Raw genomic sequence first — 21,740 nt, forward strand, 5'->3', positions numbered from 1 at the left:
AGGCAAGGTGGGCAGATTGCTTGAGCCCAGAAGTTTGAGATCAGCCTGGGCAACATGATGAAACCCCATCTCTACAAAAATAGAAAAATTAGCCAGGTGTGGTGGCATGCACCTGTAGTCCCAGCTACTCAAGACGCAGAGGTGGGGGGATCACCTAAGCCCAGGAAGTCGAGCGAACCGTGATTATGCAACTGCACTCCAGACTGGGTGACAGACTGAGACCCTGTCTCAAAAAAATAATAAAGTTAAATTAAAAATTAAGTGCAGCTGGGTGCGACGGCACACACCTGTAATCCCAGCATGTCCAGAGGCTGATGTGGGTGGATCACAAGGTCAGGAGTTCAAGACCAGCCTGGCCAAGATGGTGAAACCCCATCTCTACTAAAAATACAAAAATTAGCTGGGCATGGTGGTGGGCACCTGTAGTCCCAGCCACTCGGGAGGCTGAGGCACGAGAATGGCGTGAACCCGGGAGGTGGAGCTTGTAGTGAGCAGAGATCATGCCACTGCACTCCAGCCTGGGCGACAGAGCGAGACTCCATCTCAAAAAAAAAGAAAAGTGAGTCACTAGATACCATAAAGGGCAAAATTCCCAGGCTCATCTGTCCCTGAGGAAACGTTGAGGAGGAAATGTGGTTAGTTGTTTGTTTATATTTGTTTCTATAAGGAAGAAAGCTTGAGGTAGAGCTGAAATGCTTTTGCATTTTCTCATGCCACTTTAATACAGTCTCTATTCAGGACTCAGTGAAAACTTTTAAAAGAATATCAAGAGAAATATTTTTGTTGCTGTCGTTGTTTTAACCATAAGAATCATGACTGGGCTAAGAGATTTCCCTAAACTGTCCAAGCATGCTGTAGCTGCTAAGGCCATTTTCTTGGCTGCTTCTATTTTTCTTTTTTTTATGACCTATATTGCCTCCAGATTGGCTGCTTCTAAAGGGGTTGTTCGTACTGGGCTCTGAACTGAGTTACCCAGTTTAACTTCTATGTAGAAAATTACACCAGCTCTGGCCAGGTGCAGTGGCTCATGCTGTAATCCCAGCACTTTGGGAGACCAAGGCGGGTGGATCACCTGAGGTCAAGAGTTTGAGACCATCCTGGCCAACATGGTGAAACCCCGTCTCTACTAAAAATACAAAAAATTAGCCGGGTGTGGTGGCGGGTGCCTGTAGTCCCAGCTACTTGGGAGGCTGAGGCAGGAGAATTGCTTGAACCCGGCCGGGATGAGGAGATTTCAGTGTGCCGACATGGCGCCACTGCACTCCAGCCTGGGCAACAAGAGCGAAACTCCATCTCAAAAAAAAAAAAAGAAAAAAAACGACATCAGCTCTATCTCGAATTCAGTGTCTGGTGAAATTCTGAAAGAACTTAAGAAATGCTATGAGACAGGAGACACAAGACGCAACTCTGTCTTCATTGCTCAACAAATGCTAACAGGGTGTGTGCTTCTGTTCTCAATGAGTCAGACAGATTGGCCAGCTCTGAGCTCTGTTTAATTTGGTCCCACAGGCATGGGCCTCCTTCAAACACTGTCACTTCCAGAAAGTAAAGCAAGACACAAAACAAAACAAAATATCTCAGAGCTGGAAGAGACCTGAGGGATCACCTCCTCCAACATTCTCACTTAAAAAAGAAAAAAATCTAGGCTGGATGCAGTGGCTCATGTCTGTAATCCCAGCACTTTGGGAGGCCGAGGTGGGCAGATGACTTGAGGCCAGGAGTTTGAGGCCAGCCTGGCCAACATGGTGAAAGCCCATCTCAACCAAAAATATAAAAAGTAGCCGGGTGTGGTGGCGTGCGCCTGTAATTCCAGGTACTCGGGAGGCTGAGGCACGATAACTGCTTGAACCCAGGAGGCAGAAGTTGCAGCGAGCTGAGATGGCACCTCTGCACTCCAACCTGGGCAACAAAGTAAGTTCTTGTCTAAAAACAAAAACAAACAAAAACCTATCACTTCTATTATTACTATTATTATTATTATTATTATTATTATTATTATTATTTTCTTTGAGATGGAGTCTTGTTCTGTCACCCAAGCTGGAGTGCAGTGGTGCTATCTCAGCTCACTGTAACCTCCACCTCCCGGGTTCGAGCAATTTTCCTACCTCAGCCTCCCAAGCAGCTGGGACTACAGGCACGCACCACCACGCCCAGCTAATTTTTGTATTTTTAGTAGAGACAGGGTTTCACCATATTGGCCAGGCTGGTCTGGAACTCCTGACCTTGTGATCCACCCACCTCAACCTCCCAAAATGCTGGGATTACAGGCATGAGCCACTGTACCCAGCCAAAAACCTATGACTTCTAATTCAACTTTTTTGTTGTTGTTGTTTTCGAGACAGGGTCTCGCTCTGTTGCCCAGGCTGGAATGCAGTGGTGCCATCTAGGTTCACTGAAGCCTTGACAGCCCGGGTTCAAGTGATTCTCCTGCCTCAGCCTCCCAAGTAGCTGGGATTATAGGCCTGCACCACCACATCTGGCTATTTTTTTTATTTTTTGCAGAGACAGGATTTCACCATGTTTCTCAGGCTGGTCTTGAACAGGCCTGGGACACTGTACCTGGCCTGAAATTTTTGTTTTAAAAAATCATTGACCAATTTTTTTGTTTTGGAGTTTTGATAAAACAGAGTAGAATTTTCCTACGTTCTTTTTTTTTTTTTTTTTTGAGACAAAGTTTCACTGTTGTTGCTCAGGCTGGAGCACAATGGTGTGATCTTGGCTCATTGCAACCTCCGCCTCCCGGGTTCAAGCGAGTCTCCTGCCTCAGCTTCCTGAGTAGCTGGGATTACAGGTGCCCGCCACCACGCCCAGCTAATTTTTGTATATTTAGTAGAGACGGGGTTTCACCATGTTGACCAGGCTGGTCTTGAACTTCTGGCCTCAGGTGATCCACCCTTCTCGGACTCCCAGTGTGCTGGGATTACAGGCATGAGCCACCGCACCCGGCTCCTACATTCTTAATGAATGACTGTATTAGAAAATGAGGCCGTGGTGGCTCACGCGTGGGCCTGTAATCCCAGCACTTTGGGACGCCGAGGCAGGTGGATCACGAGGTCAGGAGTTCAGACCAGCCTGACCAACATGGTAAAAACCCATCTCTACTAAAAATACAAAAATTAGCCTGACATGGTGGCTTGTGCCTATAATCCCAGCTACTTGGGAGGCTGAGACAGGAGAATCGCTTGAATCTGGGAGGCGGAGGTTGCAGTGAGCTGAGATCACGCCACTGCACTCCAGCCTGGGTGACAGAGCGAGACTCTGTCTCAAAAAGAAAAGAAAAGAAAAGGAACAACAACTGTATATTTTAGGGAGAAAAACTGAAAGAAAGAAATTAGGCCAGGCATGGAGGCTCACGTCTGTAATCCTGACACTTTGGGAGACTAAGGCAGGAAGATTGCTTAAGTCCAGGGGTTGGAGACCAGCCTGCGCAACATAGTGAGACCTTGTCTCTGCAAGAAAAAAATAAGATAAAATTAGCCTGGCATGGTGGCTACTTAGGAGGCAGAGGTGTGAGGATTGCTTGAGCCTGGGAGGTTGAGGTTGCAGTGAACTGAGAACACGCCACTGCACACTAGCCTGGGTGACAGAGCGAGACCCTGTCTCAAAAAAAAAAAAAAAAAAGAAAAGAAAAAGAAATAAAAAGAAAGAGAGAAAAGAAAAAAGGAATAAAGAAATTAGTTTTTCCACTCTGAAGTATATTTGACTCACACCACAACCCAGGAAGAAACCCAAGGGTGCTTTTGTAGCAACTGTTTATCAATAGAAAAACATTTAGTAAAACTCAACTCTTACTGCTGTGACATGTATGTAGATTCTACTTCCTTATTCTCTTGAAAAGGTGACACTGTCAAATCTCTTTATTTTTCTTTCACTCAGCTGATTAGTTCTCACCAGACATTTACGTTGGTCTGTGCGACCTCCCCTTTCTGTGCTCATCCTCCACCTTAGAGGTCTACACCACATCCCTTCCAATTATCTTTTCTCCTCCATCCAAGCCTGTTCTTGAATAAGTTCACTTTAGCATAAATACCTAATGATTAGACCTTTCTTTTTGCCTTATGATTATTGTTATTATTATTGAGATGGAGTCTCCCTCTGTCACCCAGGCTGGAGTTCAGTGGTGCAATCTCAGCTCACTGCAACCTCTGCCTCCTGGGTTCAAGTGATTCTCGTGCTTCAGCCTCCAAGTAGCTGGGATTACAGGTGCACACCACCATGCCCGGCTAATTTTTGTATTTTTAGTGGAGATGGGGTTTCACCATGTCGGCCAGGCTGGTTTTGAACCCCGTCTCGGCCTCCCAAAGTGCTGGGACTACAGGCCTGAGCCATCACAACTGGTTTTGCTTTAATATTATTATTATTGTTGTTATTATTATTTTTGAGACGGAGTCTCACTCTGTTGCCCAGGAGGGAGTGCAGTGGCACGATCTTGGCTCACTGCAACCTCCACCACCCGGGTTCAAGCAGTTCTCCTGCCTCAGCCTCCCAAGTAGCTGGGATTACAGGCGCCCACCACCATGCCTAGTTAATTTTTGTATATTTAGTAGAGATGGGGTTTCACCATGTTGGCCAGGCTGGTCTCAAACTCCTGACCTCAAGTGATCCACCCACCTCGGCCTCCCAAAGTGTTGGGATTACAGGCATGAGTCACCACACCTGGCTGGTATGTGTATTTTAGCCGGAGGAAAGACATTAGGATACAAAAATGAATCTCTAATGGTGAAATTTGCAACCCTTTCATGGTAAAGAAGATAAATCTGAGGCACCAAGAGGCTGAAGTGACACTACTGGCTGCTGGCGTCTTGAGCTGGAGCCCCTTCTTTCTCGTCCCACACCACGCTTCTCTCTTGCCACCTTGACATCCTGCCATGCAGCAACCCCTACCAAAAAATGCACTTGGATGTTATGGACCTGGGTATGCGAAAGCAAACTAAATCTCGTGACGCCAAAGTAACTAAGCCAAAGGGAAAAGTCAACCTGGGAACTGCGTCAGGCAAACCTGCCTCCCATTTTATTCCTAAATAAGATAGCTACAAAGATTTAAAAAAAAAAAAAAAAAAAGCTACATACCTCCCTTGCAGTTTGCCCACAAAGAAATTCCCTGTGAGCCTCAAGATCTTTACTCTAAAATAGTTCTGTTGGATTTCACCCTGGCAATGTAAATTGAAAGCTATCTTCACAGGTGTGGGACAAAGGCCAGAAATCAAAGTCATCCCTCTGCTCACCTGAGACAAATGTGTATCTAATTGCCCTACTGTTTATGGAAAAATGCAGATTCACTGAGCCAGGCTAAGGCATAAGTGACTATTCCTCTACCCTGCTCTCACATGTAAATTGTGTATTCAGCGAAAGGCTGATCAGGGACTCAAAATAATGCAACCGTTTGCATCTTATCTACCTAAGACCTGGAAACCCCTGCTTTGAGTGGTTCTACCTTTCCAGACCGAACAAATGTACATCTTAAATGTATTGATTGTTATCTCATGTCTCCCTAAAATATATAAAGCCAAGCTGTACCCTGACCACCTTGGGCATATGTCATTAGGACCTCCTGAGGCTGTGTTACTGGCAGGTCCTTAACCTTTGCAAAATAAACTTTCCAATTTTTTTTTTTTTTTTGAGACAGAGACTCACTTTGTCACCCAGGCTGGAGTGTAGTGGCACAATCCCAGTTCACTGTAACCTCTACCTCCCAGGTTCAAGCAATTCTCCTGCCTCAGCCTCCCAAGAACCTGGGACTACAGGCATGCGCCACCATGCCCAGCTAACTTTTGTATTTTTAGTAGAGACGGAGTTTCACCATGTTGGCCAGTTTGGTCTCAAACCCCTGACCTCGGGTGATCCCTCTGTCTCAGCCTCCCAAAGTGCTGGGATTACAGGCGAGAGCCACTGAGTCTGGCCCAATTATGCTTATAACTCAATAGTCAGTTTTCTGGATTCCTGAAGCGCAGCACTTTAAATTATATGTAGGGCACTGAAGGATTGTTTGACATCCACACCCTGGATCCCACCAGTTCCCTAGGCCTGAGAGGCCTGTCTCTCACTTCTTTGCCTTGGACTGCCACACCATTTTTCAGCCTGTCCCCCATGTCCCATCCCCCCAAATCTCCATGATTCACAAGGTATGTGAGTGTATCAGATTTCATTAAATGGTTGTGGTAATCTCAAACTACGTACGAAATATATGAGTAAAGCATATAAGAATTAGGCTATGTAAGAAGTTTCCTCTTGTTAAAGGGAAAATCTGGCTGGGCATGTTGGCTCACACCTATAATCCCAACAATTTGAGAGGCCAAGGTGGGCGGATCACTTGAGGTCAGGAGTTTGAGACCAGCCTGGCCAACATGGTGAAACCCCATCTCTACTAAAAATACAAAACTTAGCTGGGCATCGTGGTGCATGCCTGTAATTCCAGCTACTCAGGAGGCTGAGCCTGGAGAATTGCTTGACCCTGGGAGTGGAGGTTGCAGTGAGCCGAGATGGCACCACTGCACTCCAGCTTGAGTGACAGATGGAGACTTTGTCTCAAAAAAAAAAAAAAAAAAAAAGGAAAATCTGAAAAGTTCAAATCTTCACTGGGTTTTCTTGTTGGCACACTTCAGTTTCTAAATCTTCCCCCACCAACTCACTTCCTACTTCCTGTCGAACATCCTCTTTGACTGCCATGCATAGCTCTATAGCCCATTCAAAACCCCAGCCCCTGCCCACAGGACTTAGTTTTGGGTCCTTGTCTATGTCCCTCCCTGAGCAGAAGACATGGTCCTGAAACTGATTTACTAGGTCTGGAGTAATGCCTTGGGGCAAGGGGGTCAGGACAGTTCTCGAAGTCTTGGCATTCCTAATCTCATCAAAGAGTCCAGTGTGGATGTGGATGCCCTAACTCCAAATCTTCCTACCAGTGTAGTTGCAGATACAACTCTTAATTTCTTTTTTTGAGACAGAGTCTAGCTTTGTTGCCCAGGCTGGAGTGCAGTGGCACAATCTCGGCTCACTGCAACCTCTGCCTCCCCAGTTCAAGCAATTCTCCTGCCTCAGCCTCCCCTAGTAACTGGGATTACAGGCTTGTGCCACCATGCCTGGCTAATTTTTTATATTTTTGGTAGAGACAGGGCTTCGCCATGTTGGCCAGGCTGGTCTCGAACTCCTGACCTCAGGTGATCCACTTGCCTCAGCCTCCCAAAGTGCTGGGATTACAGGTGTGAGCCACTGTGCTCAGGCACGACTCTTAATTTCTTAGTTGCCCACCAGGGAACCGAAGGATCATATACACACAAACACACACACATAGTCTCCTAAAGACAAACATAAATTCTCAGTGCGGTCTAAGTGCAAATGGAGGAAGTAAAATGTTTTCCAAACACCCCCTATAATTTGCACAGTTTCTGTTCCCCTATGAATATACAATTTCACATTTCTTTTTTTTTTTGAGACGGTGTCTCGCTCTGTCACGAGGCTGGAGTGCAGTGGCGTGATCCTGGCTCACTGCAAGCTCTGCCTCCTGGGTTCACGCCATTCTCCTGCCTCAGCCTCCCAAGTAGCTGGGACTACAGGTGCCCGCCACCACGCCTGGCTAATTTTTTTTGTATTTTTTAGTAGAGATGGGGTTTCACCGTGTTAGCCAGGATGGTCTCAATCTCCTGACCTCGTGATCTGCCCGCCTCAGCCTCCCAAAGTGCTGGGATTACAGGCGTGAGCCACTGTGCCTGGCCTTCACATTTCTGTATAAGGCAATATTAATTCCTTTTCTTAATTTGCCTTCCCCTTTCCCCTTTCCAGTTGTGTCTTCTCAAGCCTGTTTGGAATATGAAAGAGGTCTGTGACTGAGCTGCTGTGCCTCTCAACAACTGCTGTCAGCTACACAAAGACCCAGCTAAAGCTCCAAAATGAATATTGTGTGTGTGTGTGTGTGTGTGTGTGTAGTTATTACTTCGGGCTATTTGTCCTACATATATTCTATTTCCTGCTTTTTAACAAAAGTCTTGTGACCCAAAGCTGATTCAAGGTATCCATTATTCAGAGTAAATAGAGAGTCATAGTCATCAAATTCCACATGAGATCCTCTGAACTCTTGTGAGTGCAGAGGGAGAGGCTCCCTAAGAACTACAATAGAGATAATAATAGTGCTTACCTCATGGGGTTGTTGGGAGGTTTCAGTGACTCATATATAACGCAAGTGTACACACAGAATCTGTAAGTAAAATGCTAAGCATGGTACCTGGTAAGTGCTTTATACGTTTTTAAAAATTATTATTATGTATATCATAGCTACAGTTTCTACACAGGATTTCAAATTTTTTTTTTTTTTTGAGACAGAATCTCACTCTATTGCCCGGCTGGAGTGCAGTGGTGCGATCTTGGCTCACGGCAACCTCTGCCTTCTGGGTTCACGTGATTCTCCTGCCTCAGCCTCCTGAGTAGCTGGGACTACAGGTGCACACCACCATGCCTGGCTAATTTTTGTATTTTTAGTAGAGACGGGGTTTCAGCATGCTGCCAGGATGGTCTTGATCTCTTGACCTTGTGATCCACCCACCTCAGCCTCCCAAAGTGCTGGGATTACAGGCATGAGCCACTGCGCCTGGCCAGGATTTCAATTTTTTAAAATGGCACTGCTCACTTCGGGAGGCCGAGGCAGGAGGATTGCTTGAGGCTAGGAGTTTGAGATCAGACTGGGCAACATAGCAAGATGCTGTCTCTACAAGAATTTTAAAAATTAGCCAGGCATGGGCATGGGGGCACGTGCCAGGAGTCCCAGCTACTCAGGAGGCGAGGTGGGAGAATTACTTGAGGCTAGGAGTCTGAGGCTGCAGTGAGACATAATTGCATCACCGCACTCCAGCCTGGGTGACAGAGCAAGACCCGTCTCAAAATAATAATAATAGTAATAAATAATAAAAGGTCATTGCTTTAAAATTGTTTGAAAACCTCAGCTCTGGATCAAACTTCAAAGTACAGGCTGAAGGAAAGTATCAATTGTCAAAGAAAGACCTTTGTACCTTCAAGGAACCCATGCTTAAAGAAAACACACTCTCTTTCATCATGTAAATCAGCCATGGGTTTTGAAAACCATAAGAATCAGGAACAGGCCAGGTGCAGTGGCTCATGCCTGTAATCCCAACACTTTGGGAGGCTGAGGCCAGAGGTTTGCTTGAGCCCAGGAGTTCAAGACCAGCCTGGGCAAAATAGTGAAACCTCATTTCTACAAAAAATTAGCCAGGCTTAGTGGCACACACCTATAGTCCTAGCTACTCATTCAGGAGGCTGAGGCAGGAGGATCACTTGAGCCTGGGAGGTTGAGGCTGCAGTGAGCTATGATCTCGCCACTGCACTCCAGCCCGGACAACACTCTGCACTTCATTCTGGACAACAGAGCAAGACCCTGTCTTAAAAAAAAAAAAATCAGTAACATTTGTGGAGCACTTTCTATGTGCTGAATGCATTGATGGTTTATTCTCTAAAACATCCCCATAAGGTAGGCTGCAGTATCATTAATGCCATTTTACAGATGGGGAACTTGAAGTCAACTAGCCTAAGAGTAAACATATTGGCTCACAAATTGGGAAATCCAGGGGAAGGCTGTCTTCCGATGTGGCTGGGCAGGTGTAGTGTGAGCCAGTAGGTCAAATCTTGTGATTATTTCTCGCCTTCTCCTTCCCAGGTCAGCTGTGATCTCAGCAAGCGTCTTTCCTCATCAAAGGCTCCATGCACGTTCCTCATTCACATCCAATGATGTAGAAACTTCTCTTCTGGTGGATCTTTTGGAAAATTAGGAAAGCTACTTTTTTGTTTGTTTGTTTTTTGAAACAGTCTCGCTCTGTCCCCCAGGCTGGAGTGCAGTGGCGCGATCTCGGCTCACCGCAAGCTCCGCCTCCCGGGTTCACGCCATTCTCCTGCCTCAGCCTCCTGAGTAGCTGGGACTACAGGCGCCCGCCACTACTCCCGGCTAATTTTTTTGTATTTTTAGTAGAGACGGGGTTTCACCGTGTTAGCCAGGATGGTCTCGATCTCCTGAGCTCGTGATCCGCCCACCTTGACCTCCCAAAGTGCTGGGATTACAGGCGTGAGCCACCGCGCCCTACCGGAAAGCTACTTTTTTGAAAGGCTTCAGCCGGCTTCTCATTGTCTCACTGCCCTGATTCAGAAATAACTGTGGCCCAGGGAAGGAGGAGAGGCTGGCTTTTCCTAATGCCTTAAACCTGAGGCTGAGTATGGAATAAATCACTCCAAAATTGCACTCCATAAATAGGGGAGGAACTTCCTTTGGGAAGTTCAGAGTTGTTGCAGATTTGTATCCCAGGAGCTGATTCTGAGAAGAGCATTCATGTGCAGGTTTATTAGGGGGTGTCCTTAAGACCTGCACCTGTGGAAGGGAAGGCCAGATAGCAAGAGAGGGCACAGGGAGAAGCTGGGCTGCGAGGCAGAGTAAGGGCTGCAGCCAGCCAGGTGACCCTTCAGACGTGCCTGCATTGGAGCAAGGTGGGCGGGAGTGAGGGGGCCAGGCCTTTCTCCCATCCCCTCCACAAACCAGGTATGGTCTGTGGGATGCCCAGGAAGGAAGCAAAGCCTGGAGTGGGGTGGGTGGCCCCTTTTTTAGAAGAGGGTAGTTCCTGGAGAGGCAATCAGCCATCAGCTTACAACACTTCCAGCAGCTGAGAGAAGAAATCCTTCCAGCCCGAGGAGGAATCTGGGCAGCACATCCCAGGAATCTGGAAGCAGTCATGGAAAAGGAAACAAGTCACTGAGAGGCCAATCCTGGATCTCAACTCAGTCCTTTCAGAGGCCACTGCTACAGCCCCCACCTCATCGCTTCCTGTTCAATGTATGCTGATTTCTACACACTGACCGCTGTAGGCATTTCTGGAAAGAATCCCAGATCAGAGTTTTTAAGTATCAGCTGCCTATCCACGTGTGTCTTGTGAGCAACTAAGAGGGCTGAAGGCAAGGAGGAAACCGGTGGTGATACACCTCATTGGGTGGTTAAAGAGACAAGATGTCTGGCCAGACTCTCACCAGAGAACTGTCCAGTCTGAACAAATGAGGAACGTGAAGAACTTGGAAAGGTTACAAGGAAGTCACCGCGATGATGAATGTTTTCCTGAACCAGCACGGACAGGAAAGAGCAAAGGCTGCAAATCAGGGCTGACCTTGGTGATCTCCGTCTTTTACATTGGGATGCAGAATTCAGCATGCAACCACATGCAATTTACAAGCACAGGCTCCTTCTGGGAAATGTGCCAAATTAGTTCATTCCTGACAAAATAATTAAAATCCTACAAATATTAGGCTCATGCATTTAGCCATTTTATTTCAGCTGTTTTGTGTGTTCATAGATAGTGAAATTAAAAACACTTGTGGCCTGGCATGGTGGGTCACACCTGTAAACCCAGCACTTTGGGAGGCTGAGGCAGGAGGTCTGCTTGAGCTCAGGAGTTTGAGACCAGCCTAGGCAACATAGTGAGATCTTGTCTCTGCAAATATTATTTAAGCTCACAACTATAATCCTAGCCCTTTGGGAAGCCAAGGCAGGTGGATCACTTGAGGCCAGGAGTTCGAGACCAGCCCAGCCAATGTGGTGAAATCCCATCTCTACTAAAGATACAAAAAAATTACAGGTGCACACCTGTAGTCCCAGCTACTCGGGAGGCTGAGGCACAAGAATCATTTGAACCTGGGAGGTGGAGGTTGCAGTGAGCAGAGATGTGCCACTGCACTCCAGCCTGGGCAACAAAGCAAGATTCTGTCTCAAAAAAAAATTATTAAAAAAATTATCCAGGGGTGGTGGCGCACACCTGTGGTCCCAGTTACTTGGGAGGCTGAGGTGGGAGGATCACTTAAGCCCAGGAGGTGGAGGCTGCAGTGAGCTATGTTCATGCTACTGCACTCCAGCCTGGGAGACAAAGCAAGACCCTGTCTCAAAAATGTAAAATTAAATATTTTAAAACAGGACAACATTACAAAATACAAATAAAAACACGTGTATTGGGGTCAAGCACAGGGACTCATGCCTGTAATCTCAACACTTTGGGCATATAAAGTGGGAGCATCACTTGAGCAGAGGAGTTTTGGGCCGGCCTGGGCACTGTAGTGAGATCCTGTCTCTACACAAAATAAACATTAAAAATTAGGAGGCTGGGGCGGGAGGATTGTTTGGACCCGGGAGTTCAAGACCAGCCTAGGCTACATAGAGAAACTCCATCTGTATTGTTAAAGAAAAAAAAATTAAAAATTAAAAAAAAAAAACATGTATTGGAAGAAAATACTCTGGCAGCTTCAAAACACCTGACAAGAGGGGGAAACCCTGATACAGCTTCAGAACTTCAGCCCATGGAAGCTGCATTCAACAAACTACTGAATCATGTCTGGTTCCCATGGCAACAGCCCTGAAGCGGCTTCACTGAACAAGACTGAATGTGATCAACTGCCAACATGGAAATATCAACCCTTCCTCTTTGTTTTTCAGCATTTCTCTCACTGACATTCTGTGTTGCAAAGCAGGCCTTGGAACGCTGCCCGTATCTCCCTCCTAGATTCACCAAATTTCAGCGGTGAAGCCCCCCTCCACTGCATTTTTAGTGTAGAACCTTGCCAGGGTTGGGGGTGGGGGAGGTGGGGGCCACTGCATACATTCTAAAGGACAAGGAAAATAATTTCAGATAGTTCCTTACCCACCCATGTCCCTCACTAAGAGCCCTGGTTTTTCTCTCAGGCAGTAACGCTTCTTTCTGTTGGACTCAAATCAGCATATTTATGTTCCATAGCAAGACAGATTTCCTAAGTAAGAGAGAAGCTATTTTTAGAGGATCTTGAAAGGGGGGAAGATCTCAGAAACGACCTAAACTTAGATCCAGCTTTTGGTACAGTGTGCCTCACAGGGACATAGACTGCACGTGCACAAACATTTCTTGCAGCCTGTTATAAACTTCCTGAGATGCCCTCAAAGCCTGCGCTGGGGTGGGGCCCAGAGCTTCCCCCTGGAGGTGCCATAGATCCTTGCCCTTCTTTCCCTTTAAGAACAGCACACTGTCAGTTCTCCAGCTCTTGAAGAGCCCTACAATGAGGTCAGACCATATCAGTGGTACATCTGGGCTGTCTGTCAGTGCATTTGGGTGAGTTCGCTTCGAGGGAAAGAATGTCAGCCGTAGTGAGTTTGTGGTTAGAGAGTCACTTGTAGATATGAGTGTGGACCCCACGCTGGAGTGCAGTGGCACCATCTCAGCTCACTGATGGAATATTTGATGATTTCTATCACCAAATGAAGCCAGGGGATGGGTGTGTGGGAGGTTATGATACTATTCTCACTACCATGGTGGATAGTGAGCATAAAAATTACACGTGGCCAGGTGCGGTGGCTCACACCTGTAATCCCAGCACTTTGGGAGGCCGAGGCAGGCGGATCACCTGAGGTTGGGAGTTTAAGACCAGCCTGACCAACATGGAGAAACCCCGTCTCTACTAAAAATATAAAATTAGCCCGGCATGGTGGCGCATGCCTGTTATCCCAGCTACTTGGGAGGCTGAGGCAGGAGAATCGCTTGAACCTGGGAGGCGGAGCTTGCAGTGAGCTGAGATGGTGCCACTGCACTCCAGCATGGGTGGCAGAGTGAGACTCTGTCTGAAAAAAAAAAGAAAAAAAAAAAAAAGAAAGTACACATAACCAGCCCTGGTGGAAGGTTATAAGGTTATGTGTTCCTGGAGGAAGCATTCTTTCAATTGAGACCTCAAGGATAAGATCAGCTAGCAGGCCCAAACTGAGGGTGGAGGGATGAAGTGTGAGGTATTGGTTGGATAAGTGTTCCAGGCAGAGAAAACAATGTAGGCACATGCCTGAAGGTGAAAGCAAGCTCCTTGGGACTGGAAGAAGCTCAGTAGGATTGCATTAGAGCCTGGCAATAGATGAGGCAGAGCACTGGAATGGACGGTCAGGAGACAGTGGTAAAAAGTCTGGGCATTTCTCTGAAGAGCAATGGGAAGCCAATGAACAAGGCATTTACTTGACTGTATTCATGCTTTAGGAAAATTACAATTAAGCTTTATTGTCCCAAGATAGTCCTAACTTTAGGAAGTCTTCCTTGGGCAGGGAGTGGCGGCTCACGCCTATAATCCTAGCACTTTGGGAGGTGGAGATGGGTGGATCACTTGAGGCCAGGAGTTCAAGACCAGCCTGGCCAATATGGTGAAACCCCATCTCTAAAATACAAAAATTAGCCCGGCGTGGTGGTGCGTGCCTGTAATCCAGCAACTCAGGAAGCTGACACATGAGAATTGCTTAAGTCCAGAGGCAGAGGTTGCAGTGAGCCGAGATTGTGCCACTGCACTCTAGCCTGGGCAACAGAGCAAGACTCCATCTCAAAAAAAAAAAAAAAAGTCTTCTTTGAAGATTTCTCAAAGAACTACCATTCGACCCGGCAATCCCCCTACTGCATACATACCCAAAGGGAAAGACATCATTATATACTAAAGATATTTGCACTCATGTTTATTGCAGCACTATTTATTCACAATAGCAAAGATGCAGAATCAACCTAAGTGTCTATCAATGGATGATTGAATAAAGAAAATGTAGTGTATACATACACGCACACACACACCATGAAATACGACTCAGCCATAAAAAAGAATAAAATCATATTATCTGCAGCAAAATGGATGGAATGGAAGGCTACTATCCTAAGGGAGATAACTCAGAAACAGAAAGTCAAATACTGCCTGTTCTTACTTATAAGTGGGAACTAAACAATGAGTACACATGGACATTCAGAATGAAATAGTAGACATTGGAGACTCTGAAAGGCGGGAGAGTGGGAGGGGAATGAGGTTTGAAAAATTACTTATTGTAGGCTGAGTGCAGTGGCTCACACCTGTAATTCCAGCACTTTGAGAGGCCAGGGTGGGAGGATTACTTGAGCCCAGGAGTTTTCAGACCAGCCTGGGCAACACAATGAGACCTCATCTCTACAAAAATAAAAGTAAAAATTAGCTGGGTGTGGTGGCACATGCCTGTATTCCTAGCGACTTGAGAGGCTAAGGCAGGAGAATTACTTGAGCCCAGGAGTTCCAGGTTGCAGTGAGCTATGATTGCACCACTGCACTTCAGCCTGGGAGACAGAGCGAGACTCTGTCTCTCTTTTTTTTTTTTTTTTTTTGAGATGGAGTCTCGCTCTGTCACCCAGGCTGGAGTGCAGTGGCATGATCTCAGCTCACTGCAAGCTCCGCCTCCTGGGTTCAAGCCATTCTCCTGCCTCAGCCTCTCAAGTAGCTGGGACTACAGGCGCCTGCCACCACGCCTGGCTAATTTTTTTAGTAGAGATGGGGTTTTACTGTGTTAGTCAGGATGGTCTCGATCTCCTGACCTCGGGATCTGCCTGCCTCGGCCTCCCAAAGTGCTGGGATTACAGGAGTGAGCAACCGTGCCCAGCCCTGTCTCTTAAAAAAAAAAAAAAATTACTGGCCAGGCGTGGAGGCTCACACCTGTAATGTAAAAAAAAAAAAATCTAGTGGGTACAATGTTCACTATTTGGGTGATGGGTACACTAAAAGCTCAGGTTTACCACAACGCAGTATGTGCATATAAGAAATCTGCACTTGTGCCTCCTAAATCCATACAAATAAAAAAAAATGGCCGTGTACAGTGGCTCATGCCTGTAATCCCAGCACTTTGGGAGGCTGAGTGTGGATCACAAGGTCAGGAGTTCGAGACCAGCCTGGCCAACATGGTGAAACCCCGTCTCTACTAAAAATACAAAAATTAGCTGGGCGTGGTGGCAGGCACATGTAATCCCAGATACTCGGGAGGCTGAGGCAGGAGAATTGCTTGAACCTAGGAGGCAGAGGTTGCAGTGAGCTGAAGTCACGCCACTGCACTCCAGCCTGGGGGACAGAGTGAGACTCTGTCTAAAAAAAAAAAAAAAAAAAATTAGCCTGGCATGGTCACGTGTGCGTGTGGTCCCAGCCACTCAGGAGGCTAAGGTGGGAGAATGGCTTGAGCCCAGGAGTTTGAGGCTACAGTGAGCTATGATCATGCCACTGGACTCCAGTCTGGGTGACAGAATGAGATTCTGCCTCTAAAGTAAGTAAATAAATAAATACATAATCAAGCCTCCTTTGAATATTCCAGCCCTCCTTGCTCTGAGCTGCAGATTCCACCCTCTCTTACTGTAGGTTGCTATTGTTTCATGCTAAGGTTAAGTGAGGCCAAAAGGGTGGAGGCGTAGGACTGGTAGCCTTATAGAAAGAGGAAAAGAGAGAGATTGCTGTCTCTCCACATGCGTGCACTGAGGAAAGGCCATGTGGGCACACAGCTAGAAGGCAGCCATCTGCCAGCCAGGAAGAGAGCCCTCACCACACCCTGACCTTGCTGTTATCCTGATCTTAGGTTTTCAGCCTCCAGAACTGTGAGAAAATACATTTCTGTTGCTTCAGCCACCCAGTCTGTGATATTTTACTATGACAGCCAAAGCAGACTAAGACACTCCTCTAAGTCCCTCTCTATCCAGATAATCGTCGGCTGGGACAAACTTTAGACACTTCAAAAGCTTGTAATCCATTGACCTTGACTGATCATTAAAAATCTTCAACATTATAGCCCCATTATAGTCAGTCACATTTCATATTTATATATGCAGGTGATTTTCTCCACTATCATGAGGCCAAGCTATGGTGTAAGGAGATGGTTCTCCTGCAGCAGTAAATATGTCTAATAGTTGGATATTAATGTAACCATTAATCTCCCTAGTTCACCCTGAAAAGACACACCTTGTGTTTTTTTCCTATCTGAAAACTTCCAGTCATTACATCCACATGCAATTGCTGACTCCCAAGGTTGAATGAGCGGCTCATGGTCTTTAGGGCATGTGTTTATAAGAAGATAGTCTGTGTTTACATTGCCACAATACAATGTTACCTTCTACTGGCTGCCTTTCATAGGCAAGGCAACTGTTCAAAACAAATTGCTTGGCATCCTGTAATCCCAGCTACTCCAGAGGCTGAGGCACGAGAATCACTTGCACCTGGGAGGTGGAGGTTGTAGTGAGCCGCGATTGTGCCACTGCGCTCCAGCCTGAGCAACAAGACTGAAGCTCTGTCTCAAAAAAACAAAAACAAAAACAAATTGCTTGGCAAATGATGGTTTTTGCAATTTTGGACATGATGCTTAAGTTGACTTTCAATTTCCAACATGACAGACTACTGAAGTATGTTTCTTTGCAAAGTCTCTAAGATCTACTAAGTGAGGCTTTTAAGAAAGCAGCCTAGGCTGGGCACGGTGGCTCACACCTATAATCCCAGTACTTTGGGAGGCCAGGGCAGGAGGATCGCTTGAGGCCAGGAGTTTGAGACCAGCCTGGGCAACATAATGAGACCTCGTCTCTCTCTCTCTCTCTCTCTCTCTCTCTCTTTTGTAAGTTAATAATTTTTTAAATAAAAAATATAATAAAAATGAAGGAGGAGGAGAATTGCTTGAACCCGGGAGGCAGAGGTTGCAGTAAGCCGAGATCATGCCGCTGCACTCCAGCCTGGGCAAAAAGAACAAAATTCATCTCAAGAATAAAAAATAAAAAAATAAAGCAGGCTGGGTATAGTGGCTCACACCTGTAATCCCAGGATTTTGGGAGGCTGAGGTGGGAGGATTACTTGAGTCCAGGAAGTTGAGGCCGCAGTGAGCTATGATTATGCTGTCTAATCATGATTACTCTAGCCTGGGTGACAGAGCAAGATCCTGTCTCAAAAACAAACCCCGAAAAACCAAAAACAAAGCAGAGTAAGAAGCATCAGCCTTTCTGGTAAGATCTGAGGGGATATAAGAACCCTCTCATTGTCAATGATTTCTCTCACTATTTCAGTACCTAAACAACCTTTACTTGTCCTTTCTTTTGGATATTACATCTTATATATAATAGCCCTTTATTAATATGATTTTATGCTCATATATATGAATCTGTATGAATTTTTTCTGTGAGAATCAAACTTAAGAACTGTCACTTTTTTCTTTGTTTTTTTTTTTTTTTGGAGACAAAGTCTCGCTCTATCACCCAAGCTGGAGTGCAGTGGTGGGATCTCAGCTAACTACAACCTCCGCCTACCAGGTTCAAGCAATTCTTCTGCCTCAGCCTCCCGGGTAGCTGGGATTTCAGGTGCCCGCCACCACACCTGGCTGATTTTTTAAAATATATTTTTAGTAGAGATGTGGTTTCACCATGTGGACCAGGCTGGTCTTGAACTCTTGACCTCGGGTAATTTGCCTGCCTCGGCCTCCCAAAGTGCTGGGATTACAAGCTTGAGCCACCGTGCCCGGGCCCTTTTCTTTTTGTTTTGAGATGGGGTCTTGCTCTGTTACCCAGGCTGGAGTGCGGTGGTGTGATGTGACCACGGCTCACTACAGCCTCAATTTCCCAGGTTCAAGTGATTCTCCCACCTCAGCCTCCTGAGTAGCTGAGATTACAGGTGTGCACCACCACACTGGACTAACTTTTTCATTTTTTTGTAGAGACAAGGTCTCACTATGTTGCCTAGGCTGGTCTTGAACTGCTGGGCTCAAGCAATCCTCCTGCCTCTGCCTCTCAAAGAGCTGAGATTATAGGTGTGAGCCGCCATGCCCGCCCGTCACTTTTCTGTATATTCCTAAATAAAATTAAATCTGGTTCAGCCTCTATTGACTTTAGTGGTAGATAAATTCAACCCCATTTTTCTGGTGAAGAGGTTCCTCTGCAATTCTTTAGGATTATGCCAGCACCCAGGGCTTACTCAGTCCAGATGTCTTGCCTTCTGATCCACTGGAAGATGTAGAGTTTTACTACCCAGCTCCAGTGTCTTCTCCCCTCAAGTTTAGGTGGAGCCTGTTTGTCAAGGCCTCTGTGTAATACCTAGGGCCCCAAACCATTTGCATACATGCAGCCATCCCATTCAGAGGCTCTATCTCTACAGAGCTGTAAACCCTTCCTACCAGTGTGCAGGGCAGCTAACACCCTCCATCCTCACTCCACCCCTTATCCTTGTGCAGTGTAGCTCTGCCCTTCCACAAAGAGCTTGACTGTCACCACGTCCTCTTATAATCCCACGCAGTCCCACCTTCTCTCATAATCCCAAAGAAGATATGTCAGGGCCAGGACATCTATGGATATGGTGTGAGTGATATTCCAGTGGAGTAACTCCCTTCCCTACTGTGGTCTTTCTTCTTATACGGCAAGAATGAGGGCCGGGTGTAGTGACTCACGCCTGTAATCCCAGCACTTTGGGAGGCCAAGGTGGGCAGATCACAAGGTCAAGACGATCAAGACCAGCCTGGCCAACATGGTGAAACCCCATCTCTACTAAAAATACAAAAATTAGCTGGGTGTGGTGGTGGCCACCTGTAGTCCCAGCTACTCAGGAGGCTGAGGCGGGAGAATCGCTTGAACCCGGGAGGCGGAGGTTGCAGTGAGCCGAGATCACGCCACTGCACTCCAGCCTGGCGACAGAGCGAGTCTCCATTCCCCCCACCCCCTCCCCATAAAAAGCAAGAATGAGAAAGTGCCCTTGTCAACGAAGGATCGCATGGACTGGTACCAAGTGGTTCGGATCTGGGAAGTCAGCTGTAAAATGGAGTTGTCTAGGAATATCAAGAGCCTTACGGCTGGGGCAGTTGGGGACCTTCTAGTCCCTGGGCTGTTGCATTTCCCCACTGGCCAAGTATCCCAGGCCAATAGGCACTGGAGCTTGGGTGCTGTCCTTTCACTGGAATGGGCCTACTGTGTGTCCAGCAGCTGTCTTGGCTATGGCAGATTGGTCCTTGATTTGATGAGAGGCTGAAGACCACATGTGACTTTGTCTTGCTATCCTGGTCTTGTAGAACTCACCTTTTCACAATGAAGACTTTTTCTCAACCGATGTTGTACAATGTGAAATGTGTCCACCCTCTTGCAGGACAAATGGCAGACCTGAAGAGACCCATCTGGCACCACAGCCAATTTTCTTCTTTTTTTTGAGACGGAGTCTTGCTCTGTCGCCCAGGCTGGAGTGCAGTGGCGCGATCTCGGCTCACTGCAAGCTCCACCTCCCGGGTTCACGCCATTCTCCTGCCTCAGCGTCCCGAGTAGTTGGGACTACAGGTGCCCGCCACCACGCCCGGCTAATTTTTTTTGTATTTTTAGTAGAGACAGGGTTTCACCCTATTAGCCGGGATGGTCTTGATCTCCTGACCTTGTGATCCGCCCTTCTCGGCCTCCCAAAGTGCTGGGATTACAGACTTGAGCCACCGCGCCCGGCCACCACAACCAATTTTCAACATGCTGCTGGGTGTGAGATAATCAGAAAAGCATGGAGCATAGGTAGACATTTAATGGTCTTTTGAGTCCAACCTCTACATTTTACTGATAATTAATTTGGAGAATCCATTGTCCTTCCAAGATTGATTACCCATTTCTCATTTTGAGGAACGTTTAACAGCAAGAAGATTGGATCAGGTTTCTGAGTGAGCCCCAAGAACTTTGTCTCTGAGAGCTTTCAAGGTTTGAGTGACTCCTTTGCATTTTGAGTACATATTCCAAGGGCATTTTCCTTTGGCTGTTTGTGATCAGAGATTATTGTGGTCATGATGTGCCTGCACATTATTGCTGCAATAGCAAACCACTCATCTTATTTGCTGGTGTCTCTGTGGGTCAGTCTTTGGGTTGGACTCAGCTGGGCAGTTCTTCTGACGCTCTCACCTGGGGTCATAGTGGTAGGGAGAGTAACAATCCTCCTGAAGATGTCAATTCCCTAATCCTTGGTTTTAGACCTGCGCAAGCTACATTACCTAGTAAAGGGGACTTTGCAAATGCAATTAAATTTATGGACTTTTGGGTTAGGAAATTATCCTGGACTGTCTGGACAGGTCTAACGTAGTTACATGGGCCCTTAAAAGTAGAAAAGAAACTTTGGGAGGCTGAGATGGGCAGATCGCTTGAGCCCAAGAGTTCAGGACCAGCCTGGGCACCATGGCAAAATCCTGACTCTAGGGGAGGTTCAAAGCATGAAAGGGACTTGCCTACCATTGTTGGCTTTGAATTAGAGGAAGGGGGCCATAAGCCAAGGGACAGCCTCTAGAAGCAGGGAACAGCCCTCACTCACAGCCAGCAAGGGGACCTCAGTTCTACAGCCGAAAGGGACTGAATTCTGCCAATAGCCTGAATGAGTAAAGAAACAGCTTCTCCTCATAGAGCCTCCAGAAAGGAGCGCTGGTATCTCACTGTGGTTTCAATTTGCATTTCCCTGGTGATTAGTGATGTTGAGCGTCTTTTCATGTGCTTGTTGGCCATTCGTATGTCTTCTTTGGAGAAATGTTTATTTGCCCATGTTTACTGGGGTTGTTTGTTTTGTTGTAGGAATCCTTCATATGGCTTGCATATCAACCCTTTATTATATATATAATTTCAAATATTTTCTCCCATTCTGTAGGCTACCTCTTCAGTCTTTTGATAGTGTCTTTTGAGGCACAGAAATTTCAAATTTTGGTGTAACCTAATTTATCTATTTTTACTTTTGTTGCCTGTACTTTTGGCATGATATCTAAGAAATTATTGTGAAATCCAATGTTATGAAGCTTTCTCCCTAAATTTTCTTCCAAGAGTTTTATAGTTGGGAGAGTTTTAAGCAGTGAAGTGCTATATGGGAGGCTGGACAGGGCAGGGATGTGGGAAGCTGATTGTGTTGAAAGTCCCAGTCTTCATCCCTCCCCTCATCTACATGCTTTGCTGTCACATTGCAGCTCCACCCAACAAGAGGCAACA

General features: G+C 46.5%; 1 long non-coding RNA gene across 1 annotated transcript, besides 8 other annotated features; it reads right to left on the bottom strand.

The window, feature by feature from the left end:
- Positions 234–283: an enhancer, noted in NCBI's record as "active region_17521". NCBI's record gives its function as "activates an Ori minimal core promoter by ATAC-STARR-seq in GM12878 lymphoblastoid cells {active_cell/tissue: GM12878}" and the evidence as "EXISTENCE:reporter gene assay evidence [ECO:0000049][PMID:35858748]".
- Positions 804–943: an enhancer, noted in NCBI's record as "active region_17522". NCBI's record gives its function as "activates an Ori minimal core promoter by ATAC-STARR-seq in GM12878 lymphoblastoid cells {active_cell/tissue: GM12878}" and the evidence as "EXISTENCE:reporter gene assay evidence [ECO:0000049][PMID:35858748]".
- Positions 3,295–3,384: an enhancer, noted in NCBI's record as "active region_17523". NCBI's record gives its function as "activates an Ori minimal core promoter by ATAC-STARR-seq in GM12878 lymphoblastoid cells {active_cell/tissue: GM12878}" and the evidence as "EXISTENCE:reporter gene assay evidence [ECO:0000049][PMID:35858748]".
- Positions 3,975–4,054: an enhancer, noted in NCBI's record as "active region_17524". NCBI's record gives its function as "activates an Ori minimal core promoter by ATAC-STARR-seq in GM12878 lymphoblastoid cells {active_cell/tissue: GM12878}" and the evidence as "EXISTENCE:reporter gene assay evidence [ECO:0000049][PMID:35858748]".
- Positions 4,085–4,134: an enhancer, noted in NCBI's record as "active region_17525". NCBI's record gives its function as "activates an Ori minimal core promoter by ATAC-STARR-seq in GM12878 lymphoblastoid cells {active_cell/tissue: GM12878}" and the evidence as "EXISTENCE:reporter gene assay evidence [ECO:0000049][PMID:35858748]".
- Positions 6,436–6,535: an enhancer, noted in NCBI's record as "active region_17526". NCBI's record gives its function as "activates an Ori minimal core promoter by ATAC-STARR-seq in GM12878 lymphoblastoid cells {active_cell/tissue: GM12878}" and the evidence as "EXISTENCE:reporter gene assay evidence [ECO:0000049][PMID:35858748]".
- LOC124904864 (uncharacterized) lies at positions 9,421–10,859 on the bottom strand. The gene is made up of 2 exons (XR_007067511.1): positions 10,636–10,859; positions 9,421–9,755 (listed from the first exon to the last, which is right to left on the bottom strand). It is a non-coding gene; the product is annotated as an uncharacterized LOC124904864 (long non-coding RNA).
- Positions 9,835–10,335: an enhancer, noted in NCBI's record as "H3K4me1 hESC enhancer chr20:5637190-5637690 (GRCh37/hg19 assembly coordinates)". NCBI's record gives its function as "activates a minimal SCP1, AML or CMV promoter by ChIP-STARR-seq in primed H9 embryonic stem cells {active_cell/tissue: H9 hESC(primed)}" and the evidence as "EXISTENCE:reporter gene assay evidence [ECO:0000049][PMID:30033119]".
- Positions 10,336–10,836: an enhancer, noted in NCBI's record as "H3K4me1 hESC enhancer chr20:5637691-5638191 (GRCh37/hg19 assembly coordinates)". NCBI's record gives its function as "activates a minimal SCP1, AML or CMV promoter by ChIP-STARR-seq in primed H9 embryonic stem cells {active_cell/tissue: H9 hESC(primed)}" and the evidence as "EXISTENCE:reporter gene assay evidence [ECO:0000049][PMID:30033119]".

This window comes from Homo sapiens, chromosome 20 (assembly GCF_000001405.40).
Source record: "Homo sapiens chromosome 20, GRCh38.p14 Primary Assembly".
NCBI lineage: Eukaryota > Metazoa > Chordata > Mammalia > Primates > Hominidae > Homo > Homo sapiens.